The sequence below is a fragment of the Homo sapiens genome, chromosome 11, assembly GCF_000001405.40.
Source record: "Homo sapiens chromosome 11, GRCh38.p14 Primary Assembly".
NCBI lineage: Eukaryota > Metazoa > Chordata > Mammalia > Primates > Hominidae > Homo > Homo sapiens.
In genome coordinates this window covers 10,658,112-10,684,858 of record NC_000011.10, presented here as the reverse complement: position 1 = coordinate 10,684,858, position 26,747 = coordinate 10,658,112, and the positions used below count along the sequence as shown (strand labels likewise).

General features: G+C 45.1%; 1 protein-coding gene across 5 annotated transcripts in view, besides 4 other annotated features; it reads left to right on the top strand.

The window, feature by feature from the left end:
• Positions 1-26,747, top strand: part of IRAG1 (inositol 1,4,5-triphosphate receptor associated 1) — a 120,661-nt gene that overhangs the window by 8,897 nt on the left and 85,017 nt on the right. The window lies entirely within an intron of this gene.
• Positions 8,422-8,923: an enhancer, noted in NCBI's record as "H3K27ac hESC enhancer chr11:10697483-10697984 (GRCh37/hg19 assembly coordinates)". NCBI's record gives its function as "activates a minimal SCP1, AML or CMV promoter by ChIP-STARR-seq in naive H9 embryonic stem cells {active_cell/tissue: H9 hESC(naive)}" and the evidence as "EXISTENCE:reporter gene assay evidence [ECO:0000049][PMID:30033119]".
• Positions 9,698-10,285: an enhancer, noted in NCBI's record as "H3K27ac-H3K4me1 hESC enhancer chr11:10696121-10696708 (GRCh37/hg19 assembly coordinates)". NCBI's record gives its function as "activates a minimal SCP1, AML or CMV promoter by ChIP-STARR-seq in primed H9 embryonic stem cells {active_cell/tissue: H9 hESC(primed)}" and the evidence as "EXISTENCE:reporter gene assay evidence [ECO:0000049][PMID:30033119]".
• Positions 24,491-25,690: an enhancer, noted in NCBI's record as "P300/CBP strongly-dependent group 1 enhancer chr11:10680716-10681915 (GRCh37/hg19 assembly coordinates)". NCBI's record gives its function as "activates an origin of replication core promoter dependent on BRD2, BRD4, P300/CBP, MED14 and CDK7 cofactors, with strong dependence on P300/CBP, by STARR-seq in HCT116 cells {active_cell/tissue: HCT116}" and the evidence as "EXISTENCE:reporter gene assay evidence [ECO:0000049][PMID:35650434]".
• Positions 25,143-25,437: a silencer, noted in NCBI's record as "tiled region #9334; HepG2 Repressive non-DNase unmatched - State 4:PromP, and K562 Repressive non-DNase unmatched - State 5:Enh". NCBI's record gives its function as "represses a minimal TATA promoter and a strong SV40 promoter by Sharpr-MPRA in HepG2 and K562 cells {active_cell/tissue: HepG2 | K562}" and the evidence as "EXISTENCE:reporter gene assay evidence [ECO:0000049][PMID:27701403]".

Sequence of the window (26,747 nt, the reverse complement as noted above, 5' to 3'; positions counted from 1 at the left end):
GAAATTGCAGATCCCACCTATATATTGGTTAAAGTTCTTTGATTGCCAGATCTCAGAAGGCTATGTTGGCTAACTTAAGAGAAAGTAGGATTTATTATAAGGTATTTGAGAAAATCAAAGGAAAAGGTAGGTAGCCAGCAATGCCTCAGGAAGGCAGGACCCAGGGCAGCTTTCAGATCCCAGCAGCAGGAACTTGCCAGCCTTTTCTCTTTATTATTATTATTATTATTATTATTATTATTATTATTATTATTATACTTTAAGTTTTAGGGTACATGTGTACAATATGCAGGTTAGTTACATATGTATACATGTGCCATGCTGGTGTGCTGCACCCATTAACTCGTCATTTAGCATTAGGTATATCTCCTAATGCTCTCCCTCCCCGCTCTCCCCACCCCACAACAGTCCCCAGAGTGTGATGTTCCCCTTCCTGTGTCCATGTGTTCTCATTGTTCAATTCCCATCTATGAGTGAGAAGATGCAGTGTTTGGTTTTTTGTCCTTGCAATAGTTTACTGAGAATGATGATTTCCAGTTTCATCCATGTCCCTACAAAGGACATGAACTCATCATTTTTTAAGGCTGCATAGTATTCCATGGTGTATATGTGCCACATTTTCTTAATCCAGTCTATCATTGTTGGACATTTGGGTTGATTCCAAGTCTTTGCTATTGTGAATAGTGCCGCAATAAACATACGTATGCATGTGTCTTTATAGCAGCATGATTTATAGTTTGCCAGCCTTTTCTCTACAGGAGAGGTCTTCAAGTTTTTTGGATGTTGCATCTTATTAGTTTAGAGAAAATTTTTTTAGCATGCACCTCCAATTTATGTATATTTCTTTATTATAAATCATATTCATGAGCTATTGTACTAATGCGTTACTTTATAAAACATAAAAATAGAAATTTTTAAAGAACAAGAAAGATGAAATAATATTTTGAAAATCATGCTTTTTTTTTTTTTTTTAAAGTGTCAACAATTTTCCTGCTTTCCCTAAATAAGTATTCTTTGGTCATGATTCTATGTGCTTCTTCAAGGGGAAAGAGAAGAAAATCGTATTACCAGAAGCTAGTGAGCTCTGGAGCCAGGGAAGAGGTTCCATCCAGAATGAGCTGTAGCTAAGGAGAGTCACAGTCACTGCCAGAGATGTGGTGCTGGAGCAAGGGAGGAAAGGCCCAGGCCTCTCTCTCCTCCCATCCCCTACTGGTCCCTTGGCCAAACTCAGCCTGCAAGCAAAGGAGCCCAAGTTATACATTCCATAGGTGTCATCCTGAAGCACACAGCAGAGAACCAGGGGGCAGGGCAGGGAGAAAGGGAAGGAGGGCAGAGGAAAACCAGCTCAGATACCTCATGTGGAAGAGGGACATCCTTACTTCCTGAATTATTATATTAAATTTTCAGTTTTATCCACTACTTTGTAAAATTTTTTTTTGAGAATTACTGTTAGCTTTATTAGTAGAAGTATTTTCATTGTACTTTTTTTTTTTTTTTGGCACAAACCTTTTAAGCCGCATACACATTTTATGATAGTAGGTTTGGTTAAAACTAGATAAATATGTTTTATTAACCTACTTACTTGGGCACACACAAACTGTGTCACCCTTCAGGAAAAACAAATGGATACATGAGGGTGCTACATCAGTTCCGTAACACTGTAGAATTCCCCATACAACAGCTCACAAACTGGATATAACTGGCCTTTCAATACATGAACCAGCACCACTGCCAATCTGTTTATTAAATATTAAGGAAGTGTACTTTGTTACTATTTTTAATTAAAAATTGAAGGTTTTTATTTTAAATTTCCTTCCTATACTCCACCAAGTCATCCTGCATTCCCTGGATGACATACTCTACTCTGAAGATCACTGCCCAGGCCACAGGCCCAGTATGACTAGGTTCCAGAAGCTCCTGGTCTCTAAGTTCTTGAAAGAAATAATCTGATAAGTCCAGCTTGGATCAGGGTCAATCAGTCATGGCCAGGGGACAGGATTGTGGGGTATAAATGTGGTCATGGGGAAGCCATCCCTCATATATAGGGGTTCTTACTAAAGAAGGGAAAATTGCTTAAAGTAAAAGTGTCTTCAAAGAATGTCATCACCCACTTATTTATAGTTGTCTTTCTGTCCTGCCTTCTAGAGATGTCTGTTAAGCCTCTCAACTCTGCAACCCCATATACAGAGAATTTCTTGGGTTACTTCCATAGATAACTAACCATGTCCATTGTTTATGGGTTTTTTTAAACCTTGTTAATACATTGGAGGGCAGCCCCATTTCCTTGCAGTTATCTCCATGTATAGCCAACATTCCTAACAGGTCTGGGGTTCACAGACCTTATCAGACTTAGAGGAAGACTATTTCTCAGGCCAGCTGGTCCCAGAAAGGAAAAAAAGATACGGTTGGTTATAGACATCAAGGATCTGTTGCATTAGACCTGAAAACATTTGGCAAGTTGTCCCTATATCACGATTCCTATAGTTTATAAAGCACAAAAGTTGCTTAGGCACATGAACAAAGAGAGCCTGACTTTTTAGAGTCCCAGAGGGGAAGATTCCATTTGCTGAATCTCCAGAGACTTGTTTCACATGACAAGAGTAATAATAATGTGCTTATTACTGTAACTTTCTGTCATTTCTGTCTGTAAATTACTGTCATTTATTGAGCACCAGCTAAATACTATGTTAAGTTCTTTACATACATTATCTCATATTTTTGCAGCATCCTGTGATACAGGTTATAATATTATCTCTATGTTACTGATGAGAAAATGGAGACTTTGTGAGGCTGAGTAGTTCACTCAGGATTACACAGCTAGAAAGTGGCAGAGCCAAGGCCATATTGCCCTTGGTGCAAAGTGCATGCAGCCCATCAACAGATAGAAACTCATACTTGGAGTTTTTCAGGCCGGGAGAGAGTAGAGCTGGGACAATAAGATTTCAAAAAGGGTTAGATCATTATGGTTTTATAGAAAGGTATTAAGGGAAGCTAGCACCATGGCAGTTTGTAGCAGGTATTTGGTAGATACATTAAATGAATGAACAAATGCATGCATGAATGAAACCTCTCAGGTTTAAGGGCAGTCAAGGTCTTCCAGCATCCGTCCCTGGTGCCACTTCCTAAGCTGAAATGAAGAGACCGTATAAGCAGTGGTCCTGAGTTGTAGGCCTGGTTCTGCCTTCAACTCATGTTGTGCTCTTGAGCAAATCAAATCTTCTTTCCAAGTCCTCATTTTCCTCATCTGTGAACCATTCACCCTACAGGGCCCAGTGATTCATCCCAATAGTTGCATGATAGAGCCCATCTCAGAGCAATAATTGACAGCTGGGCACTGTCAGTGACAAGGAGGAGGACTGCAGGTGTGTTTGAAGAGTCAGCTGTTATTGTTTATTTTCTACAATCCCATTCAAGTCCTTTGGTGACAGTTAGAATGGGCATCAGGTCCAAAGTTAATGGAAGGTTGTATTTTTAAAAAAAACATTTACTGCTAAAGGGAATGCCTATTTATTCTCTTTTTTATTAACAAGGCACTTGACTCATGCGTTAGACATTTACTGCTCAGATTGGAAATGATGGTCCAGGCAGCCGCTAGAGCCTGGCCACTCTGCCCTCACACTACAGGGCCAGCTTCTCCCAGCACTCCAGCTCTGGGGGCAGATGAGTATGCCCTACAGGAGTAGTGGGTGGTGACAAAAGGACAAGATTTCTGTTCCTTGGAAGTGGTGAAACTCATAGGCACCAGAATTTGAGGGGCCTCCAGGAGGTGTCGGGCACTCCCTAAGTAGAGGAGACCTGGTGAACTTGAAAAGACCCAGGAAGATGGATCAAGCAGCTAACTACCATCTGCATAGCACTTTCTCCTCCCACTGGAACTCACTGACCCTCCCTGAGGACAATGAAACCATGCTATCTGTGTAATCTTTCATGAATTATCTGGAGTTTTACAGTTTTATGCATTATAGGTAACATAATCCCTCTCACTGCCCCCTCTAACCCGCCCGGCCCCAAGGACCTTATTAGAATGTTTGTGAGCCCTATGTCACAAAAGGCATTGTTCTAAGAAGTTTATATTACATAATTCACAAGATTGTTATTATCCATGTTTTACAAGTGAGGAAACTGAGGCATAGAAAGATGAAACAGCTTGCCCAAGGTCACATGGCAGGGCTGGGATATGAACCCGGGCAGCCCAGCTCCAGGGCCAATGGACATAATTACTGTCCTCTCTCACCTCTGGACACCCTCTAACCTAAGAGGGTTTAGGGCATTTCTGAATGGAGATTTCCCTTCCCCTTCCCCTTCCCCTTCCCCTTCCCCTTCCTTCCTTCCTTTCTTCCTTTCTTTTTCCCTTTCTCTCTCTTTCTCCCTCCCTTCCTCTCCTTCCTTCCTTCCTTCTTTCTCTTTCCCTTTCTTTCCTTCCTTCCCTCTCTTTCTTTCTTTCCCTTTCTTTCCTTCCTTCCTTCCTTCCTTCCTTCCTTCCTTCCTTCTTTCTTTCTTTCTTTCTTTCTTTCCTTCCTTCCTTCCTTCCTTCCCCCCTCCCTCCCTCCCTCCCTCTCTCTCTCTCTCTCTTTTTCTTTCTTTCTTTCCTCAGTTTCATTCTTGTTGCCCAGACTGGAGTGTAGTGGTGTAATCTCTGCTCACTGCAACCTCCACCTCCTGGGTTCAAGCGATTCTCCTACTTCAGCCTCCCAAGTAGCTGGGATTACAGGCATGCGCCACCATGCCTGGCCAATTTTTGTATTTTTAGTAGAGACAGGTTTCACCATGTTGGCCAGGCCAGTCTCAAACCCCTGACCTCAGGTGATCTACCTGCCTGAGCCTCCCAAAGTGTTGGGATTAGAGGTGCGAGCCACTGTGCCTGGCCCAGAGTGGAGTTTTAAAGAGGACACTTTGAGATACTCCTTGGAAAAACGTTTCATGGTCAAATAAATTTGGGAAACATTATATCCTTTCACCCCTTCTTGCAGATTTATACTGCACATTTACTTTTAAAGGCTCTGAGATGTCCTGCAAGACAGAAACCTATCTCCCGCTGATATTCCCAAATAGAGTGAAACACATAAGCTTTCTTTTCAGAGCTCCTGACAACATCACCCAGATCTGGAGTTGTACAGAACTCTATACAACTTTGGGATAAGTGGTTAGTGGTATTCCTACTTGGGTGGACACAGGATGGATCACGTGGCATCTAGAGAGTCCTTGCTGCTTGCAGAACTGCTAAGGAAAGCTCTCAGTGAGCAAGGTCAGCTCACAAACCTTCTGCCTGAGAGGCAGACAGTGGGCTGGAATGGGGAAGCCATGGGCTCTGACGGCTTCAATCCCTGTTTGGCCACCCATTAGCTCTGTGACTCTGGAGGTCACAGCATCACATTGAACTTCAGTTTCCTTATCTGCAAAGTGGCATCCACCTCATAGGGCAGTTGGGGGATTGAGTGAGTAAATATGCCTAAAGCACCAGGCACCAGATCTGTGGTTGCCAGGGCCTGGGGGGAAGGGGAACAGGGAGTGACTGCTTCATTGGTACAGAGTTTCCATTTGGGATGATGAAAGTGTTCTGGAACTAGATAAGGGTGGTAGGTGCACAACATTGCGAATGTACCTAATGCCACTGAATCGTATGCTTTTAAAAAGCTCTATGCTTCTGATGGATAGAGAATGTTGTTATTGTTATCATTGCCTGTTTTGCTTATTTCTACAGTCTCCTGGTCTCATGTAGAACTAGGACACTAAGATTGGAAGCTTCCAAGGAGCAGTATAGACACAACTTCACCATGTCAGGCTGAAGGGCATTGTGCCTCTTTTCTACTCCAAAGAGGTCAGGGGACCCCTTGGTCCAAGGGATAGTTTCTTCCTGAGAAAGGGAAGGGGAAGCTCTTGGGTTGACCTTGGGTTGAACAAAAGAACAGGGAGGAAATTTAGAGAGCTGAGGTTGAGCTTGTGGGACACACTCAGATTTAGACTCATAGCAGCATCAAAAGGGAACATTAACCCAGGATTGCAGAAGGTGACAGAAGACCCAGAAAAGGTAAACATTGGTCTGTTTGGTACAGGCAGAATCTGCCCCAGGAAAAAGCTTCGATTACAAATGAGGTGCCAACTGGTAGAGTGTTTGCAGAGGTCCATGCCAGCATCAACCAGTTGCCTACCAAGAGGGCATTTCTAAACAATGGTGGGTCTGAGAATACATTTCAGATGGTGGCTATTTTACAAAGACTTTGAAAAGAGAGGCAAATTGAGAGAGGGCCGCTGTGGTGGCGTGGAAAGGGCACTGGGCTGGGGTCAGTCTCAGCTGGGCTCCTAATGGCTGTGTGACCTTGCCGCATCACTTCATCCTCTGAATCTGTCAGCCTCCACATCAAAAAGCAGACGTAATCGTTTCCTCCTTACAGTATTTCTGTGAGGAATAAATTAAATAATATGTCTGAAATAGCTTAGACAAAGGAAAGCTCTAAACAGCAAGAGGGCAGTATTAAAAACTAGGAACATCCTTTAGGGATTGCCATCAGGAGACGACAAGATGAAATCGCTCCCTTCTAAGAACCTTGGGCTCTCTCAGCGTGAAAGCAGTTAAATAGACCCAGCATGTTGTTGAGGCTTGGAGAAAGCAAGGATAAGCAGCTTCCCAGTAAATGTAAAATTTCCATATGACCCATTAATTCCAGTCCTAGGTCTATATGCAAAAGAATTGAAAACAGGTGTTCAAACAGAAGTTGTATCACAGTGTAACAGCACTATTCACAATAGCCAAAAGGAGGAAACAACACGAATGTCTATCACCTGATGAATGAATAAACAAAATGTGGGATGGATAGACAGATAGATGATAGATAGATAGATAGATAGACAGATAGAGAGATAGATAATGATGGAATATTATTCAGCCATAAAAAGGAATGAAGTATGGATACATGCTACCATGTGGATAAACCTCAAAAACATTATCTAAGTGAAAGAAGCTAGACCGAAAATGTCACATATTGTATGGTTGCATTCATATAACTATCCAGAACCGGTTAAAGCCACAGGGACAGAAAGCAGATTCGTGGTTGGCAGGGCCTGCCAGAAAGGAGGAACAGGGAGTGACTGCTTACTGGGTACAGAGTTTCCATTTGGGATGATGAAAAAGTTCTGGAACTAGGTAGGGGTGATAGGTGCACAGCATTGTGAATGTGCTTAATGCCACTGAATTGTACACTTCAAAATGGTTAAAATGATACATCATATGTCACACATATTTTATCATAATTTTTTAAAAAAGAAGTTTACTGGTGAAGAGGAAATGTGACCCAAAGTTTAGGCACCCCTCTCCTAGAGTATGGTTGAGGGGAGGGGACGGGGTAGTCAGAGTTTGTCAGCTGGAAGCCAAGGTCTTGTGTCAGCAAATTCAGGGAGGGTCTAGAGTGAGCAAATCTTGTGTAAGGATCCCAGGGGATCCTGAAAGGAGTAAGACATGCTCCCTGCTCTCAAAAAAAATGTATAAATTACTCTCAAGTCATAAACACCAAGAGGTACTACAGTATGTACAAGGGAGACATTGATTCAGGAGAAGGAGACATTGACTCAGTCTGGGGCCATCCATGAAGACTTCTCAGAAGAGAAGGTAGTTGTGGATCTGGCAGGTAGGTAAGAAAGAAGTGAGGAACTTCCCAGGAAAAGTACAGGGTTGGGAGAGTGGAGGGAGCGTTTCAGAGTGGGGAAGAGGTTAATATGGGTGGGGCACAGAGTATGCATGGACCCAGAGGGGAAGGTCATGGGAGAGACGCACAAAGGAAATTAGAGTCAGATGTAGAGCTTTGCAGGTGGATCTGAGGAAGTTGGGACATGATCTCCAGGCAGTGGGGAGTCAAGGCATCTTCTAAGCCTGTGTTTGAGAACAGTCAGTGCAGTAAAAGACTGAAGAACGAGAGACTGAGGACAGGGAGATGAGCTGTGGCATCGTCTCTGCAGAGGCCAAGGAACACCGCTCGCCCCAGAGCAATGGCCGTGGGAAGGGTGAACCTCCAAACATATTGAGCTTGGCATTTGCCAGGATTCTGGTTTGCCTAGAATAGAAACGGATTCAAATTAGATTAGCAAATTAGCAGAATGTTCTGGATCATATCATTGAGAGTTCTAGGGCAATCTCGGACATGGCTGGATCCACGGTCTCATCCCCTTGTCTCTCAGCTGTCCTTGGCATTAGATGTATTCTCAGGTGACCTCTCCTGTGTGGTGGCACTGTGGCACCTGCAGTTCCCAGCCTCTCCTTTCAGCAACGCTTGCAGCAGGAACTCCCCCAACAGTTCCAACAGAAGTCACCGAACTGAATGTATTGGCCTGGTCTGAGTCACGTGCTCATTCCTCAATTACAACCCAGAGCTGGGAGCATGGGATATTCTGTGGGGCCAGTCCAGTGTCATAGCTCCAATCCCACAGTGGGGTCAACCACCCCCATCCCAAGCACAAGTATGATGGATGTGCTGCTGTCGCCAGAAGAAGGGGGACTGGGGACCGCATGGGCGAAAATGCAGCTGCCCCCCAAAGCACTGACTGTGCTGAGTCATGTACGCATCTCATGCCATCCTCTCAACCATTCTGACGGAGAAACCGTTAGCTCCCACCGCACAGGGAGAAACCAAGGTGTAGACTAACTCATTCTCCCTCCTCACTCCTCCATCACTTTCTGTGTCCTGCGCTTCTGGAATCTCTTAGGGAGGCAAAGCGAAGCCACTAAGAGGCAGTACGAGCATCACAGCTAAGAACCTGAGAACTAAAGGACATGATCACAAAGATCAAATCACGATTCTCTAGGCAGAGAGATTCCCAAACTGCATTTAAATCAGGAACCCCATGCAGTGGTTACAGACTCTGGCCATTTAATTGTTAGATGGGAGGCCAGCCTCCATGAGGCAGGGGAGAGGCTTGTTCCTTGCCTCACTCCTGTCCATGAATAAGGCAGCTGAGAGTCGTGGTCGATCAGTGGGTAGGAGAATGCAGGGTGTGAATCTCTAGGCATGGGAGTGTAACCTGGGCAAAGGTGGCCATTCCAGAGCATTCATTGCAGACAAACTTAGTAAAGACCGCAGCACTCTTAGGAAGGCGCTGAATAAGAGGATGAAGGGGCATTTGTCAGTCAGGGAAGAGGGCGTAAATGGTGTTTCCTGCGTAGAGTACAGGATGTGCAAAAGCACTGAGGTAGGCCTAGAGTGACAAGTCTTCATGATGATGAAATTCCCTGAGATCCCCAAATAATTTTGTCAGAGAAAGACAAGCCACTGTGGAAATGACTCCCTTTGGCATCAGCAGCAGACCAGAGGCTCAGGGTTCCTCAGGTGACCTGCTTCCCCAGTCGTCATTGTTAGGAATTAAATCCCAACTCAGTGATAGAGAGCCACCCAGGCCACTTCTGCAAGGGACCATTTCTGCCCTTCCAAGCCATTTGCAGGGTTAAAGTTCTTGGACCTGGTAACAGCAAGTGGCAGGCATGAATTAGCATTTCCTGTTTGGGAGGCAGTGCACGTGACACACAGGAGAGGGGAACCGGGCAGGAGCCAACGGAACCAGGAGAGCTTAACGGTGGCCCAGATTCTACTTGGGGTCTGACAAAGGCACTCTGGGTGAATGGGGACATTTTAGAAATGCTGACATTCCCAGGGGACTGGCCCAGTCCAGGGTGGAAAGCAATTTTAGATGCTCTGGCTACTATTTTTGGAGCCTGAATCACATTAATTCACTGCTGCTCCAAATGGTGCACAGCCAGGGAGATCTTCAGGGAGCCCAGGGGCTGTTTCCCAGCCCAGCACTGGTGCAGCCTGCCCAGAATCTGCAGGGCGGTGCCCATTCCTTCCTGCTCCGGGTCACTCTGCGTTTCCTATTCGTGTGCCAGTGCACGGCGTCCAAAGCCCCCAACATCTTCTCCAAAGAGAATCCTTCATATGAGGGGATGAACCCCCATCTTAGGATGTGACTTGGGGCTATTTCAGGAATATTGTGTAGCTTGGACTCTCGCTAAATCTGGAGTTAGGAGAAGAGGGACCCGGGCAAGAGATATCCAGAAACGTCCCTTGCCTTCCCTCCTCAGAGTTGGCTGAATCTGAGTCAGGCAGGGAGCCGACACCGTGCAGGAAGCAGTCACTTTTCTGTTGAGCTTCAATTCCCTTTCATGTGCCTGTCAGCAGCAGAGAAGCCACAAGACAGGGGAAGGGGCAACATGTGATGCCTTCATTGGGCCAGGTCGCCAGGTCTGGATGGGATGGAAGGAGGGTGGAACAAAATGTGTTCTGGGAAGTTTCCAGCTGAAAGCCCAGAGGAGTGGTGCTGGTGTGGCTGTAATAGGTCACATTCCTCTCTGTTTCCAAAGCCAGTCCCTCCCGATGAGGGGGAAAGAGTACTGGGAAGCTCTGGAGTGAGGGATGAATCCTGTCCTTCAGCCTCATTTTATAGAGACTTCAGGGTGAGAACTGAAAGGTGTCACCCCCATTTGTGCCCATACTTGTAAAAACCCGTTTATTTGAATGTCTTTGCTAGCAGAACTCTAAATGCCTCAGATGAGGAATGGCGCTCCCTACAAAAATGAGTCTACCTTTGGGACATTTGTGCATGTGGAGTGTGGTGTGGGGTGTATGTTGCATCTGTGCACTTCTGGAGCATCTTGAATTACTGCATCCCAGCTCTCGCTCTCTGTGCTTGCTTGCAAATTGCCTGCTTACTGCTATGTCTCTTACCTCTGAGCTCAGTGCCCTGGTCTACCTGGTTTACTACTGCACAGAGCTTGGCACTTGGTAGGCGCTCTGTAAATATTTGTTAAATGGAAGAACAGATGAGTAATCTGCACATTCATCCCAGTGAGTCTGTCTTTCTTTTGGGGTGTAGTCTTGTCTCCATGTCTCTGTCTGTCTCTCTGAGCCCGTGTCCCTGTCCCTTCATCTCTATTTCTCTTAGTCTTCTTATTGTTGCCTCCTCCTTCATTTCTCCTCACACGAGCCCATCCTAGACACATAATCTATCTCTTTCCCTCAACCTGTTTTCTTACATTATGTATCCTCAGCAATTTCAGAGATGGAAGGCACGTTATAAATCATCGAGCTTAATTTCTAATGTTTATGTTTGAGGAAGCTATGCCCAGAGAGGTCACAAGGCACTAAGGACCAAAGCTAGCTTCCTTCTCTTTTTTTTTTAATGGAAGTTAGAAAAAATTTTAAACAGCTTTGTTAAAATATAATCCACACGCCATATGACTCACCTACTTAAAGTGTACAATTCAGTGGATTTTAGTATATTCAGAGAGTTGTGCAGCCATCATGGCTAACTAATTCCAGAATATTTTTATCATCCAAAAAGAAACCCCACACTTATTAACAGCCACGTCCCATTTCCCCATCCTCTCAGCCCTAAGCAACCATTAATTTACCTTCCATCTCTATAGCTTTCTCTATTATGGGCATTTTATATAAATAAAATAATACGTATGGTTTTTTGTGACTGGCTTCTTTCACTTACCATAATATTTTCAAGTTCATCCTTTCATTCATTTTAAGTTTCATACTTTAGCATGAAACTTAAAACTTATATCATTACTTCATTCCTTTTTTTTGAGACAAAGTTTCACTCCGTCACCCAGGCTGGAGTGCAAGTGGCATGATCTCAGCTCACTGCAACCTTCGCCTCCTGGGTTAAAGCAATTCTCATGCCTCAGCCTCCTGAGTAGCTGGAATTACAGGCGCACGGCACCAAGCCCAGCTAATTTTTGTATTTTTAGTAGAGACGGGATTTTACCATGTTGGCCAGGCTTGTCTCAAACTCCTGACCTCAAGTGATTCGCCCGTCTCAGCCTCCCAAAGTGCTGGGATTACAAGTGTGAGCCACCGCGCCTGGCTCTTCATTCCTTTTTATGACCGAATAGATTCTATTGTATGAATATACCACATTTTATTCATCCATTAATTACCTTATGGACATTTAGTTTATTTCCATGTTTTGGCTATTATAAATAGTGCTGCTATGAACATTGTGTACATGTTTTTATGTGGATATACATTTTCATTTCTCTTGGGTACATATCTAGAAGAATTGGTAGATCATGCAGTAATCCTATGTTCAACCTTTTGAGGAACTGCTAAGCTGTTTTCCAAAGCGGTTACGCCATTTTACATTTCTACCAGCAATATATAAGGGTTCTAGTTTCTTCACATCCTAGTCGACACTTGCTGTTGTCTTTTTTATTTTAACCACCCTCATGGGTGTAAAGTGGTACCTTATTGCTGTTTTAATTTGTATTTCCCTGATAGTTGATGACGTTGAACATCTGTTCATGTGCTTATTGGTCATTGGCATATATTCTTTGGAGACATGTGTATTCAAATATTTTGCCCATTTAAAAATTGTATTACTTGTCTTTTTATCATTATAAGAGTTCTTTATTCAAGTCCTTTATTAGATATGCTATTTGCAAATTTTTTTCTATTCTGTGGGTTGTCATTTTACTTCCTTGATAGCATCACTTTCAATACAGAATTTTTTGTATCGCGATGAAGTCCAATTTATTTACTTTTTCTTTTGTTGCCTGCATTTATGGTGTTGTATCTAAGAAGGCATTGTCTAAACCAAGGACACCAAGATTTACTCACATGCTTTCACCTAAGAATTCTATAGTTATAGCTCTCCCATTTAGATGTTTTGAGTTAATTTTTGTGTATGGTATAGGAAGAGGTCCAACTTTATTCTTTTACATGTGGTTATCCCGTTGTTCCAGAACCATTTGTTGAAAAGACTTCTTTCCCCATCGAATTGTCTTGGCATCCTTGTTGAAATCAATTAACTATAAATGTAAGGGCTTATGTATGAACTCTCAAGTCTGTTGCATTGATGTGTATGTCTCTTCTTGTATAGTGTATAGTATCATACTATATTACGATAGTTTTATAGTAAGTTTTGCAATTGGGATGTGTAGATAATTTTTTTCTTCTTTTTAGTTTGTTTTGATTATTGTTGCTTCCTTGTGTTTCCATATGAAATTGGAATGAGATGGCATTCCAACAATTTAGGGCTTTAATTTCTTTCAAATATATTTCATATCTCTCAGAGTAAAAGTTTTACATTTATTTTGTTAAGTATATTTCTGGTTTTTGTTGTTGTTGTTGTTGTTGTGTTTGTTGTTGTTGTTTTTAAGACAGAGTCTCACCCTGTCACCCAGGCTGGAGTGCAGTGGTGTGATCTTGGCTCACTGAAACCTCCACCTCCTGGGTTCAAGCGATTCTCATGCCTCAGCCTCCTGAGTAGCTGGGACTACAGGTGCGCGCCACCATGCCCTGCTAATTTTTGTATTTTTAGTTTAGATGAGGTTTTGCCATCATGGCCAAGCTGGTCTCAAACTCCTGGCCTCAGGTGATCCACCCACCTCAGCCTCCCAAAGTTGTGGTATTACAGGTGTGAGCTACCACACCCGGCCAGCCGTTGGGTGTATTCCTAAGTATTTATGCTTTTGATGCTATTGTGAATAGAATTGCTTTATTAATTTCATTTTTTGATTGTTCATTGCTAATGTATAGAAATATAATTGATTGTACTATATCAATCATATATCCTGCAGCCTTGCTGAGCTCATTTATTAGTCCTAATAGTTTTTTAGTGGATTCCTCAGGATTTTGCATATATAAGATCATATCACCTGCAAATAGAGATAATTTTACTTCTTCAAAGGTAGAATTCTTGGGACCTAGTCTAGAGAATTTTTATTTCATTAGAAAGGTTCTGAAAGGAGTTTTGTGGTTAGCCTGGAAAAATACTAAAGCAATTATTCTCCAAAATGTATTGATCCCTATTTCAAAGATTAAATGTTTGAAACAGACTTGAATTTAAATCTGATATGGCTGAGAGATTCTATCAATAGCTATATTAGATTGTCAGAGCTACTGTATTAAAATATCACAAGCCAGGTGGCTTAAACAATGGAAATTTATTTTCTAACAGTTCTAAGGAAGTCCCAGATCAAGGTATCAGCAGGTCTGGTTTCTTCTGCGGCCTCTCTCCTTGCTTATAGATGGCCACCTTCTCTCTGTGTCCTCATATGGTCTTTCTTCTGTATAGGCACATCCTTGGTGCCTCTACATCCAAATTTCCTCTTCTTATAAGGACACCAGTCAGATTGGATTAGGGTCTATTCTAATGGCCTCATTTAAACTTAATCACCTCTTTAAAGGCCCTGTCTCCAAATACAGTCACATTATTATGTACTGGGGGTTAGGATTTTGACATAAGAACTAGGAGGAGTATTGGGGGGCACAATTAAGCCCATAGCAATAGCCTTCTTGGTTTTCCTTTGAGAGATCTGATTTCTGGTTAGTTGCAACTAGTGAAAACAGAATTTGTTAAATAACCAATTCACCGTGACCACCAAATGACAGTGACCTATGGCCAGAATTAGAAAGCACTGCCTATTTTCACTAAGCTAAAGGATCCTTGTGCATGGTTTTGCATGACCCTAGAACTCGTTTTAGTTAAGGACTACTCTAAAGCCAAGTCAAGGAGGGTGGATGACCAGCCATTAGACTCAGACATGTACATAACACCTAGAATTTGATTTACACTGCCGGCTTTAAAGTACTTCCAGATCCTGTTGTGTAAACAGTACGGTGACATAGTTGTATGAGGAGTCCCTCTGTGAAGTGAGCTTTATAAAGTTCTAAAATGCAAAATCTCACTCAATTTTGTTCTCTGTTGGACTAAGGGTTAGTTTTGGAAGCTCAAGATGTAGCTACTCCTTGCTCTGCAATTCTTGCAAAAGCCAAAAACAAGGTGCTGCTGATCTCAATTGGTTATGTCAGTAGGAACTGAAAAGCAAGATTCCCATCCCTGTGATCCAGACTGAGCAGTCATCCCACCTCGGTTAGTGCAGCTGTCTATCTCCCTCTTTCCTCTGCTCTCTTTTTCAGCATTTATTTTTAACTCTCTTGGCCTCTGAGTGTTTTTATTGCCATCTGGCCACAAGCCCTTTTAGGAAGCAGGCAGTTATAAATCACCTGCTGGGAAATCAATAAAAGTCAGTTCAATCCACAGTTACACCGATTTGCCCCCAGATAACCAGGATCCTGCAGGCTCAGTATTTTATCCCATGGGGGTGTCTGCAAGGAGGGTGAAGGGTAAGGGGGGGAACTACTTTCTGAAAGAGAGGGTGGACTGCTGCTCCCAAAGGCTCAAGGAAGGGATGGACTTTGGCTTTCATCCATGTGCTTTTCATCTGGCCTCGGGGGAGAGCTGAGTGTTTCCACTTCATCCAGCACAGAGTTTTCCACACCATGGCATTTTCTTATCTTCTGAAGATCTACTTTAGGGCTAAAGTATCTTCCTTAAGCCTCAAGAAAAGGCAGTAGAAATGAGTCGCTGTATTTGCTGGGGAGGACAGGGAATGTGCTACTGCAGCATGGAAGAGGGAAGACACTCTGTCAAGCTGCCTGTTGCCAGGCCACTGTTTTCACTCACCATGAGTTGGTTCATCCCTCTGGCTAGAACTCCAGGGAGTCAAGTCTGGAAGTTGTTATACAGAAACTGAAAGCTAGGCCCAGAGAGGCGGGTGACTGGCCCAAGGTCACAGAGTAGTTTCATAAACAGCTCACAAAGAAATGGTCTCACTGCTTGGAAATCCTAGTTCTCTTCTCAAAAGGAGCTTTTGTCAGGAATGCAAATTCATGGGTAGTTGAAACTAAACAAAATATAGATCTCCAGAGAAAAAATACCAATCCATTAGTTTATTTATTAAAAATGGGTCCACCAAATTGCCCCCTGTAAGGACCATGGGGACCATTAGACCATCCATTTGTACACTCTTGGATAATGGGAATATACTAACCTTTGAAGGACTTCTTCCTCCCCTCTCTATCAGGGGAAATATTACAGCTGCAAAGCACAGAGTGCTGGGTTTTGGGTGGTGGGAGGCAGTGAGACTGTGGGATGCTGAAGCCAGGAGGGAGGCAGCCTCAGAGCCAGGTCTGCTGGCACTTACCCCATCTTCCCATCAGGGCTTTCAGGAGATGTGTGCATTTAAACTGGGTTAAAGAATTATTCACTTCAATTTAACATATACCAAGCCCTAATTATATACCAAATGTTAGAGATACAAAGATGAGAAAGACTTAGTTTAAAAGGATGAACAGGAGTCTGCCATGAAGATCCTTGAGTGTCTCTCAGCCAAATAGGGGAGACGAAACTATAAAAAAATAATTGCAATTATGTTAGAGCAGGGTTGGCTAACTTTTCTGAAAAAAGGCAGCTAGTACATATTTCGGCTTTATAAGTCAGAGTGTCTGCCTCAACTACTCAATTGCCCTCATAGCATGAAAACAGCCATAGACAATATACAAATGAATGGTTGTGCTGTATTTTGATAAAAATTTATTTACAAAAACCATTAGTTGGTCAGATTTGGCCCAAAGGCCATAGTTTGTTGAACTCTGTGTTAGAGGAATGCCATCATAATATAGGAATAATAATAATAAAAGTTACCATTCTGTTAGTTATTTTGTGCTAGACACTGTATATCTAATTTACATACATTTACATACTTTTCAAATTTGAATATTTTTCATAATAATTTGTGAGGACATTGAAAGTCAACAGCCAAAGTCATAGAGCTAGAAAGTGGCAAATAGAAGGTTAAAGTCTATGTTTCCAACTAAACAATTTAAAATGCTAAAAGGAAATGGGGCAGAGGGTTTAATCTGGTGAGAATCATGTGGTGGCTCCTGAAGGATGAGTAGGGTCTTTCATGGAGACAGATGGGGGGATGGCCTTCTAGGCAGAGGGAGTGACACTGAGGTTTGATAGCACGTGGAATATTCTGGAAAGTGAGCATTAGGTGAGGCTGGGGTGCAGGATACCTTGGTGTTAGTGGCTGGAGAAAAAACAGAGAGGTTTGGCAGTCTCAGAGCAGAAAGTTTTGCATGAGTGCCCAGGAAACTGGACTTCATCTGTGGACGAGGGCTTCTCCAGCTCTGGTCTTTGGATCAGATTCCCCTTTAGGGGCTTTTAGCCATACAGATTCCCAGGCCCTATTCCCAGATATTCTGAGTCAGTCTATCTGAGAAGGGTGTAGGAATCTTCATTTTATCAAGCACCTCAGGTGCTTTTAGTAAGCAGCCAGACTTGGGAGTCAGCACACAGAAAGCCATTGAAATGTTTGACTTGAGGGAGGCCTGCGACCACACCTATGTTTTAGAATTCCAGCTGTGTGGAAGATGGATTACTTCATAGGAGAACCACCCTCCACCTACCCCAGGAGTCGATTTTCTGGTTATCAGCTTTTCTCATCTGGACATGTAGAATGAATAGGGCTGCAGGATGGCTAGATTTTTATGAGTAGGGAATTGGGAGGTAACTGAGGCAGTAAGAGGATATCAGGAAAGCATTGAGTAGCGGCTCCCTCCCTCCTGTCCTGGGGCCCCTGCCCAACTTGGGCCTTCCAGTGCTGACCTGCAGGCTGAGCAGAGCAGAGCTGCTGCTCCCAACCAGTCCCAACCACAAAGCCTGCCAGCCATACCCCAGCCAGCATTCCAGCCCAGGGCCCTAGAAGGCCTTTGCTTTTCCCAAACTCTGCCAACCCTAGAGGAAGGGCCCTGTGTAGGGGATCCAGAAGATCAGAGGAAAAGAGATGAAAGGCCACGAGAACAATGTCCCAGGACTTTGGGGCTTCTGGGATCCAGGGTGACTCCAAATTAGGTGCTTTAAAAACAAAAACAAAAAAACGAAAAAAAAAACTTCTGTTCTATAAACATATGTTGTCATATTAAAAATATCTACATTCCTCTACATTCTATCATAGCATTAATGAAAAAATCATTTTATAACTAGGAAATACCAACTGTGGGCACAGGAAAGAGGGGTGTCTGAGCCGACCTAAGGAGCCTGGGGGCTACCCTGGGAAAATGTTCCCCAGGGTGCAGGAGCTCCACTCAGGCCTTGGTAATGTTGCTAGTGTGATCCAAGAAAACCCTGCCAAAACCCAGTGATTTCCCAGTGCCTATGCTCCTTGTGGAACCTGGGCCAGGAAGGGGGTCTGCTCACCTGCCTGCCCACTCACAGCCCAGAACAGCTCCAGCAAAACTGCTGAGGCATCTCCAGGCAGTCCCTGGCCTTAACCTGCCCTCAGAGCTCTCTTTACTCAGTCTTTTCTAAAAACAAGAAAATACTTCACGAGAATGACTCAGCTTAACCCGTTGGATAAACTCTATGCTATTTACCAGTTAACTTAAGCAGAGCTATTGCATGTATAACAAACTGCAGGTTAACAAAGAACATAGGTAAATCTGATTGTTAGGGATGATACCTTCTCCACGATGACAAACTGGTGAAGCCTTAGCCAGAAAAACCTCTTCTGGTCCTGTGTTAGCATTTCATTTTTGGTTGAAGTTGTTGCTGCTGCTGTCGCCTGGCTCTGTATTGACCTAGAAGCCTTCATTATGGTATACTGAGCAGAACCCTGGGCTTGGAGTCAGGCTCCCCTGAGCTCAAACCCTGTTAACATTACTTAGTAATTGTGATGTCTGAAACAAATTACTTCACCTTTCTGAGCTTCAATTTTCTCACCTGTAAGATGGGAATAATCGTACCATGCAGGGCTGTTGTAAGGACTGGATAAGATAAAGGATGTAAAGAGTCAGGTAGAGCACCTGGTACAATAAATGTCAGTTTCTCTCCTGCTAATGCCTCAGAATTACTCCCAGACCATCCCCACCTCTCCATGGTGGAAAAATGACTCCCCTGCGGAGAAATTCTCTATGGTTACTTCCAATCTCATATCATTAGGCAGTCACAGTTGCACATGCCCATTTAAGCAGTAGGACCTTGAAATACATGGGCCTCTAATCACCAAAGCTTGCTGTTGGGAGAGCCATTCCCAGGCTCTACCCTCCCGGCTTCCACCCACCCCTGCCATTGCATATCACTGTTCACCATAACCTGTTCTCAACTTGGGTCTAAAGACTCAGCTAATGCAGCTGTTTGCATACATCTGGATAACCAAGGGACTGCTCACTTTTACTTTATCACGTGTCTTCTTGTGTACACACCCACCATCCTGCAGTTCAGCTCAGAGTCTATTGGTGAAAAAAAGACCCTGGCCAAGATCCACAGCTGCTCCCACCCTGCTGCTGGCCTCAGTCGGCAAGGTGTGAGCTTCCTTCCTGTCCTGCACATGGGAGTCTCCACCCTAAACTCTGGTGCTGGGGTTCCAAGCACAGGGCTGCGAGCCTGTTCACACAGCCAATCATTGTCCCGGTCTTGGGGTCTGCTCTTCTGGGGAGGGTTGAGAGTGAGAGCCTATCCAGCTCTGAGCTGAGGGATAGGTAGGTGGAGTGGTCGCCCCCAGGAAGTAATGATGTTTGAAAATCATTTGAAGGTTGAAATTTGACTCAACAAACATATCTTGGTGTGTACCAGTCTATCGTCTAGGCAGGAACATGGAGGTTGGTCAAACCGAGTCACTCCTCTGGAGCCCTAACAGTTTAGATGTGTGTATTAGTAAAAAGAAGTGGGGACAGGCATCCTGGAGAGGTGGGAGAAGGTTCTGTGTTTGGGCTGGGGTTTCTGGCCAGATGCTGGGCCCACCAATGGTAGCAGGGAATGCAGAAAGAGGAACAGGTTCTGAGGAAAAGGGCATGGTGATATTCTAAGTTAGGGAATAACTTAGGGTAAGCTCATCAACTCTAGATCTGAGTTCCCAGCTTAAACTCTCAGGGTTAGGGTTAGGGTTAGGGTTAGGTAAGCAGCACAGTAGAGAGGTGAGAGAAGACTTGGTGCCAAGAAAGTCCCCACAGGCAGCATTATAAAGGATAGGCTGTTTGCACCAGTTGGAACTCTTTATTGCAAGTGCCAAAAAAGCTCGTACAAGCCAGCTTAAGAAAAAAGGGGTATTCATTGGTTCTCAAAACAGAAAAGGCTGGGGATATCAGGCATGGCTTGATCAGGATCTGAGAAGATAGCCTCAGGACCTAGTTTCTTTCTGGCTCTTAGCTGTGCTCTGTCTCACATTGATTCCATCCTTAGACAAGTTCTTCTTCATCATCTTAAGAGGGATTCTGCTTTCACCCTCTGGAACTCAAGGCTGCAGTTAAGGATGGCTTTCCCAGGATGCCCAGTAATGTCTTCTTGCATCTCATTGGTTCTTGTCAGCTCACATGCTCACCCTCCAGCCAATCACTGTGATCAGGGGGATGTGATGGCTGCTTCCAGCCCTGGGATGCCAGGAAGGCCCCTAACTTCCTACTGTGTGACTGCTTTCAATAGGCAACGTGAACTTGAACTCATGGGGCAGAAAGCAGGGCTCAGGCTGGCAAGTTAGCCCAGCCTTTACTATTGAGATGGAGAGACTGAGGCCTGAATGGTGAAGGAACTCATTCCTACACAGGCAGTTAGCATGGCAGTCTGCTCTTCACTCCCCACAAGGCCCTGTCCCTGAACCCCTATCTCAATCCTGCTGTAGCTTTCTGTAGCATGCTTTACACCAGACTTTGCCCAGCAGCCCAGCCCAAGGTTATTGGGCCTATTTCCATGGCTTTGGAGAACTGGGATTCCCAGAGTGGAGATGAACAGGAGGCGGGGACCTGAGCTGGGGTGCTCCATCCCAGCAGGGAAGAACACTCTCTCCTGCTGGTCTTAGATGATCACAGTCGCAGCTGCTTCCTGTCTACCCCAGGGGATGCCGTGAGAAGGACTTCCAGTTCCTCGGAGAGGGGCTGCGTCTCGGCTGCTGTTGTTCTTGTTGGCTGTGCTGGCCCTGAGGAAGAGCTGGGATCTAGAATGATCAAGAGCACTGCCCTATCAAAAAACATCTCCTAATACCCTTGTTCTGTCTTTGCTAAGATTAGAGAAGCATAGGAATAAGCTCTCTCTAAGGAAGAGCCAAACATCCCATTTTGGGCAGAGGAGACCCAGTGTTTAATCCTGACTCTGCCTTCTGACTGTGTGACCTAGAGCGAGTCACTTTGCTTGTCTAAGGCTCCATTTCCTCATCTGTAAAATGGACAAGTAATTCCTTTCTCACAGACCTGAGATGGTTCAAGAGCTAGCGTATCTACATTGTGCTGGGTGTGTAGTAGGCCATGTGAAAAGTGAGGCTTGATTCCTAGAGTCCTTGCTTTCAAAAGAAGAGATCCACCAGGTATTGAGAACTTTCTCTGTACCTGTGTTACAAAAGAAAGCTATCTGCCCTCAGGCTTTGCAAATGAGAAACAGAAACCACTGCTTGGCAGATTGGGATAGCCACACAGTGCTGTCATAGACCAGAGGAGAATATAGCTTCCAGGAGAGGTCAGGGAAGCCTTCCTGGAGGAGGTGGCCTTGGAGGACACACCCCAGAGCCCCAGTGCCCAGCACAGTACCTAACACATAGGAAGCACTCAACAAGCTTTTCTAGAATGGGTGAATGATTTAGGCAGGCACCATGGAGGCCATCTTTTCCTTCTGACTTTCCCAAACCAGTTCCTACATATATTCCTATATTCCTATATGTATTCCTACAGGTTCCTAATAGACCCTGATGACCTCTTCCTAGAAGAAAACTAGGAAGGGAAGGGGAGATGATGGAGAAGTAGGAGGAACTGAATGAGAGAGGCACACTGGGAACTGGGTGTTAATTTTCTTTTCTTTTTTTGCTTATTTATTTATTTATTGGGCTGTGGTGTTGCCAAGTCAAGGAAGCTTTATTTTTATTTGGAACAAAGTTTCTAAAGAATCCAAGGCAATAGGGTGCCTCTTCTGGTTCCTGGTGGTCTAGATGGCCCTTGACAGATCTCTGGGCCTGGACAAAACACCAGCTTGCCTTTATCCATCCTTGCTCCCATCCTAAGAAAAGGGCATCTTCAGGTTCAGAGGCCGGGAGATCCAAGGAAGAGGCCGTTGGCTCAGATTCAGCCCACATGTTGGCTTCTGAAAGAACCAAGGCCATCAAGGCCTAGTGCGATCCCATCAAGTGGGTACAGTGCCTCCTGCCTTCTACCTGAAATAAGGTACATTTCCCAGAGGCCTGCTTCATGGGAATGGGCAATCCCAGGTGCTGGATTGCCAGGACCCCTAATACCAGAGTCTGTGCCTTTGCTGGAGCAGGAATCAAGCCATGAGTCCAGGTCTGGGTTTAAAGGCAATGACCACCTTGCAAAGCCTCCCGGCTCTGCTCTGTCAGGAAGGAGGTGGTTCCAGAGTACCACAGCAGCAGACACGAGGGTGCTGCCGCATTTGAACACACATAACCAACTGTTTGAGGAAATGCTTTGGTCAGCATTCCAAGCGGAGCCAGAGGGGCTGGTGGGGCTGCTCTGTGGTCTTCTGTTAGGCTTAGGTTAAAGCTAGAAGAGCCATTGATAAGTTAATCTGAAAATTCACTTTGCAAATTACTCCTGGATGGCAGAACAGAAGCATGAAGGTGTCAGAGAAGGAGGCCCTGGCCTTTTGTGAGGTTTTAGTTGTAGAATACTATGGGAGAAATTTGCACATCTGTGTGGCAGAGAAGACATGAAACCCGGGTACATCATCGAGAGAGAGAAAAACTTGGCCATTAACCTGGGGAAGCTCAATGAGAATGAGGGCAGGCAAGGCCACCCACTTGCTTATATAGCAACCCAGATGATGGCTAAGTTTTGTATTTTTAGTAGAGATGGGGTTTCACCATGTTGGCCAGGCTGGTCTTGAACTCCTGACTTCAAGTGATCCACCCGCCTTGATCTCCCAAAGCCCTGGGATTACAGGCATGGGCAACTGCACCCAGCCTATGTAAAACCTTCTTCTCTGCTTTTTAGAAATACGGTGTCATTCATTTATTAACTCAATAAACATTTAGTGAATGCCTATTCTGTGTTTGACCCTGTACTGGAGGCAGGTCATAAAAATATGAATATTATAAGAATATTCATAAAGCTATGAATAAGGCAGAGTCTCTGCTCTTGAGATGTTCAAATTCTAGTTGGGTTGAGTTCTGGGCAAAGTACCCTGGGAGGATAGGGCAGTAGGCTGAATACTCCCCCCTCCCCAAGATGTCTACATCCTAACCCAGGAACCTATGAAGATGTTACCTTAAATGGCAAAAGGGCCTTTGCAGATATGATTAAATTGGGAATACTTAGATGGAGATTACCCTGGATTAACTGAGCGGGTTCAATGTAATCATGAGTTCTTATAAGGAGGCAGGACGGTGAAAGTCAGAGGAGAAGGAAATGTGAAGGGGGAAGCAGAGATCAGAGGGGAGAAAAGATGCCAGCGACTCTGCTGGCTTTGAGGATGGAGAAAAAAGGGTCACCAGCCAACGAATGTAGGCAGCCTCTAAAGCTGGAAATGGCAGGAAATGGATTCTCCCCTAGAGCCTCCTGAAGAAGCACAGCCCTGCTGATGCTTAGACTTTAGCCTGCTGAGATGGATTTTGAACTTCTGACCTCAAGAATTGTAAGATAATGAATTTGTGCAGTTTTAAGCCACCAAATATGTGGAAATTTGGTACAGACGCAGTAGGAAACTACTACAGGAAGGGAGTAACTTTTCCTGAGGTGAAGAGGAGGAATGGGTTTATGAAGGAGGAGATATGTGAACTGGGTCTTGGAGGACAAGTAGGAACCCATAAAGTATAGAAGGAGGACAGAAGGCAGCCCAAGTATAAGGAGGAGGATGTATGCAAAGGGTGTAAAAAAGCAGGGCATGTTTGGAGGTTGGCTTTTGGTCCACTGTGGTTGGGGCATAAGGTGTACAAAGGTTGAAAGAGGGGATCAGCCTCGAGAGAGGGGCTAGGAGCTTGACTCAGAACTGGCCCCCCCATGGTAAAAGGGAATCAATCCTCAAGGAGTTTATGAAGGGGAAGGATGATCCAATTTGTGTTTCAGACAGACTGCTCTGGTATCATTATGGAGGGTCATTGGAAGGGACCAGGCCAGAGGTAAGGAGACAAATGAGGCTGTTGCAGTGACTCAGGTCACACAGAGCCATGGGCAGGGGTGCCAGGGATGGGAGGAAGGGCATTTCTGAACTAGGATTGATGGGACTCAGAGTCATCTAATTGAATGTGGAGGGTGACAGAAATGAAGGAGTCACGGTGACTTCTAGGTTTGTAGCTTGAGTGCCATTCTCTGGGGCACAGGAGGAGTGGGCTGGGGAGGGAAAGAAACAATGAGCTCTGTCAGGGATGTGTTGAGGATAAGGGATTCATAGTCCACTTGGGAAAAGTTGTCCAAAGACAATTGGCAATGAAGTCTCCATAACTGTGCTATCTTGGGGTGATACTAAAGTCATCTGTGTTCCTTCTGCACCCTGGTAGGAGCAAGAATCAGGGAGCCTGGGGCTGAGTAGCTCAGTGGTGTGCTGGCAATGTTCCACGGCCAGCTCTCTGGGGGGAAAAGGCCCTGATATGTACATAGTGTTTGCCAATTTCCATGGTATAGATACTCCCACTATGACCAATGGCAAGCTACTAACTCACCCTCACTGATCATGGAACTGAGAAGAGATGGGCAGTAGCAAATCATTATATAGTTTCCGCTATGCAGAGACAATAGAAATAAATCTTCAGAAGAGCATAGATAATAGTAAAATGTAGTAAAATAATTAAAAAGCAGTTATTTTGAGTATTTATCTCCTTTTTGTTTAATGTGAGTTCATGTAATTTATTTTTTAATAATGTCTGTGTTTAACCACCAGTTCACAGAATTCTTGAAAATTACATTAGACTCTTATGAGCTGGAACAAGCAGGCTCCTGTGCACCACTAAAGAGATTCCTCCAAAGTACAAGTTAGAAGGGCCCAGAAATCCACCTACTTCTCAGGCTTAGTGACTCTCTAAAGTCACCCATGTGGGGAGGCAGAGCCAAGCCTAGGGCCTAGGAGACAGTTCCTGATCCTCCATGTCTTCCTGGAGACCCCTCGGTGCCCTGCCCTTTATGGGATCTCACAGACCCAGAATGCCGTGTGGTCCTTGACCCCAGGATGATGACTCATGTCACTCTTGAGTGAGTGACTCAGGGAAGAGGCTGCTGAGCAGCCTGGAACAAACAGAACTGGGCAAGATTTATATCTGCTAGGCGCTAAATGGGAGGCTCAGATACTTTGCTGCTATTCTCGGTGCCTTTGAACTGCCTCCGATTGAGCAATTGTACATATTTTGAAGAAGAAAAAATTTTTTCAAGTGGACCTATTTTTAAAAAAAGAATTCCTGAAGTGAACAAGCTGGAAAGGAAACCTGGGGAGATGTTTAGGCTTATTTCCTGTCATTGGTCTGAGCAGGTGCTGGCTCCTTCCCAGGGCACCCCCAGCCAACAAAGCCTATACGAGCTCCACAGGAGCGGAGAGCAGGGCTGGAGAAAATCGGGCCCTAAGAAGGTTTCCCACAGAGGTGCAAACCCCAGGATTGTCGGGGTTCTCAGGGCCAGCCTCCCGAAACGTGACTTTGTTTAGGGGACACAGTCTTGGGGGAAGTGACTTCCACTTCCTCATCCTCCCTTTTCTGTTGCCACCGAGGCTTTCTCCCTGCATCTCCGCCCTTCACCATTCCTGCTCCTGCACAATTCCCTTCAATCTAGATCCACTTTCAGGAGAGAATCCTGGGGCTTCCACCACACACTGGGGGGTGGCTGTACCCCCTTCAGTCACTCACTTACCCACTTGTTCAGCACAGCACAAATACCTACTTGGCCAGACACTGTGGCTGGCTCTCTTCCAGGAGGGATTCCACACTAGGCCTCATGTCTCACCTGTGGAACAAAAACCTCTGTTTTGGGGGAGTCATCATGAGTACAGGGATAGTGGAAAGAACTGGGGCTTTGAAACCAGACCAACCTGGGACTGAGCACAGCCCAGACCTGGGACTAAGCACAGCACAGATCTGGGGCAAGCACAGCACAGACCTGGGACTGAGCACAGCACAGACGTTGGGCAGCCACAGCACAGACCTTGGGCAGCCATAGCACAGACCTGGGACTGAGCACAGCACAGACATGGGGTGAGCACAGCACAGACATGGGGTAACCACAGCACAGACCTAGGACTGAGCACGGCACAGACATGGGGTGAGCACAGCACAGACATGGGGTAACCACAGCACAGACCTAGGACTGAGCACAGCACAGACACGGGGCAAGCACAGCACGGACCTGGGACTGACCACAGCACGGACCTGGGACTGACCACAGCACTGACCTGGGACTGACCACAGCACAGACCTGGGACTGACCACAGCACGGACCTGGGACTGAGCACAGCACAGACATGGGGCAAGCCCAGCACAGACCTGGGACTGTCCACAGCAAAGACCAGGACTGAGTCTCTTTTACTTGCAGGAGACAAATCTGGGAGCTCTGAGCCACTAGGATGAACACCAGAGTCTCTCTGAGCCTTGGCTTGGTTTTGTTGATGCTGTGCATGCTTAGAGAACTCAGCTGCCCTGTTTGGAGAATGGCGAGGGCACTGAGTGGACTCTATGTACCAGCACCTTGCATGTATTTCCTGATTTAATCGTTACAACAACGCTAAAAGGTGGGTGCTATTACCTCCATTTTCAAATGAGGGAACTGAGGCCAGGGGAGATTTATCCAGCAAGGGAGAGGCAGAGGAAGGATTAGAACGGAATCTGCCAAGCAACAAAGCCCCGTGAGCAGGCCAAGGTTAGGAAGCAGGATGGGGCTTTCCCAAGGCAGGCTTCCCATCCGGCTCACTTGTGGAGTCGCGGAACCCAGCTCTGCAGTTGGCCAGGCCCAGGGGACCCCCAGAGGCACCTCCCAGCACTTTCAGCAGATCTCCTGTGGGGA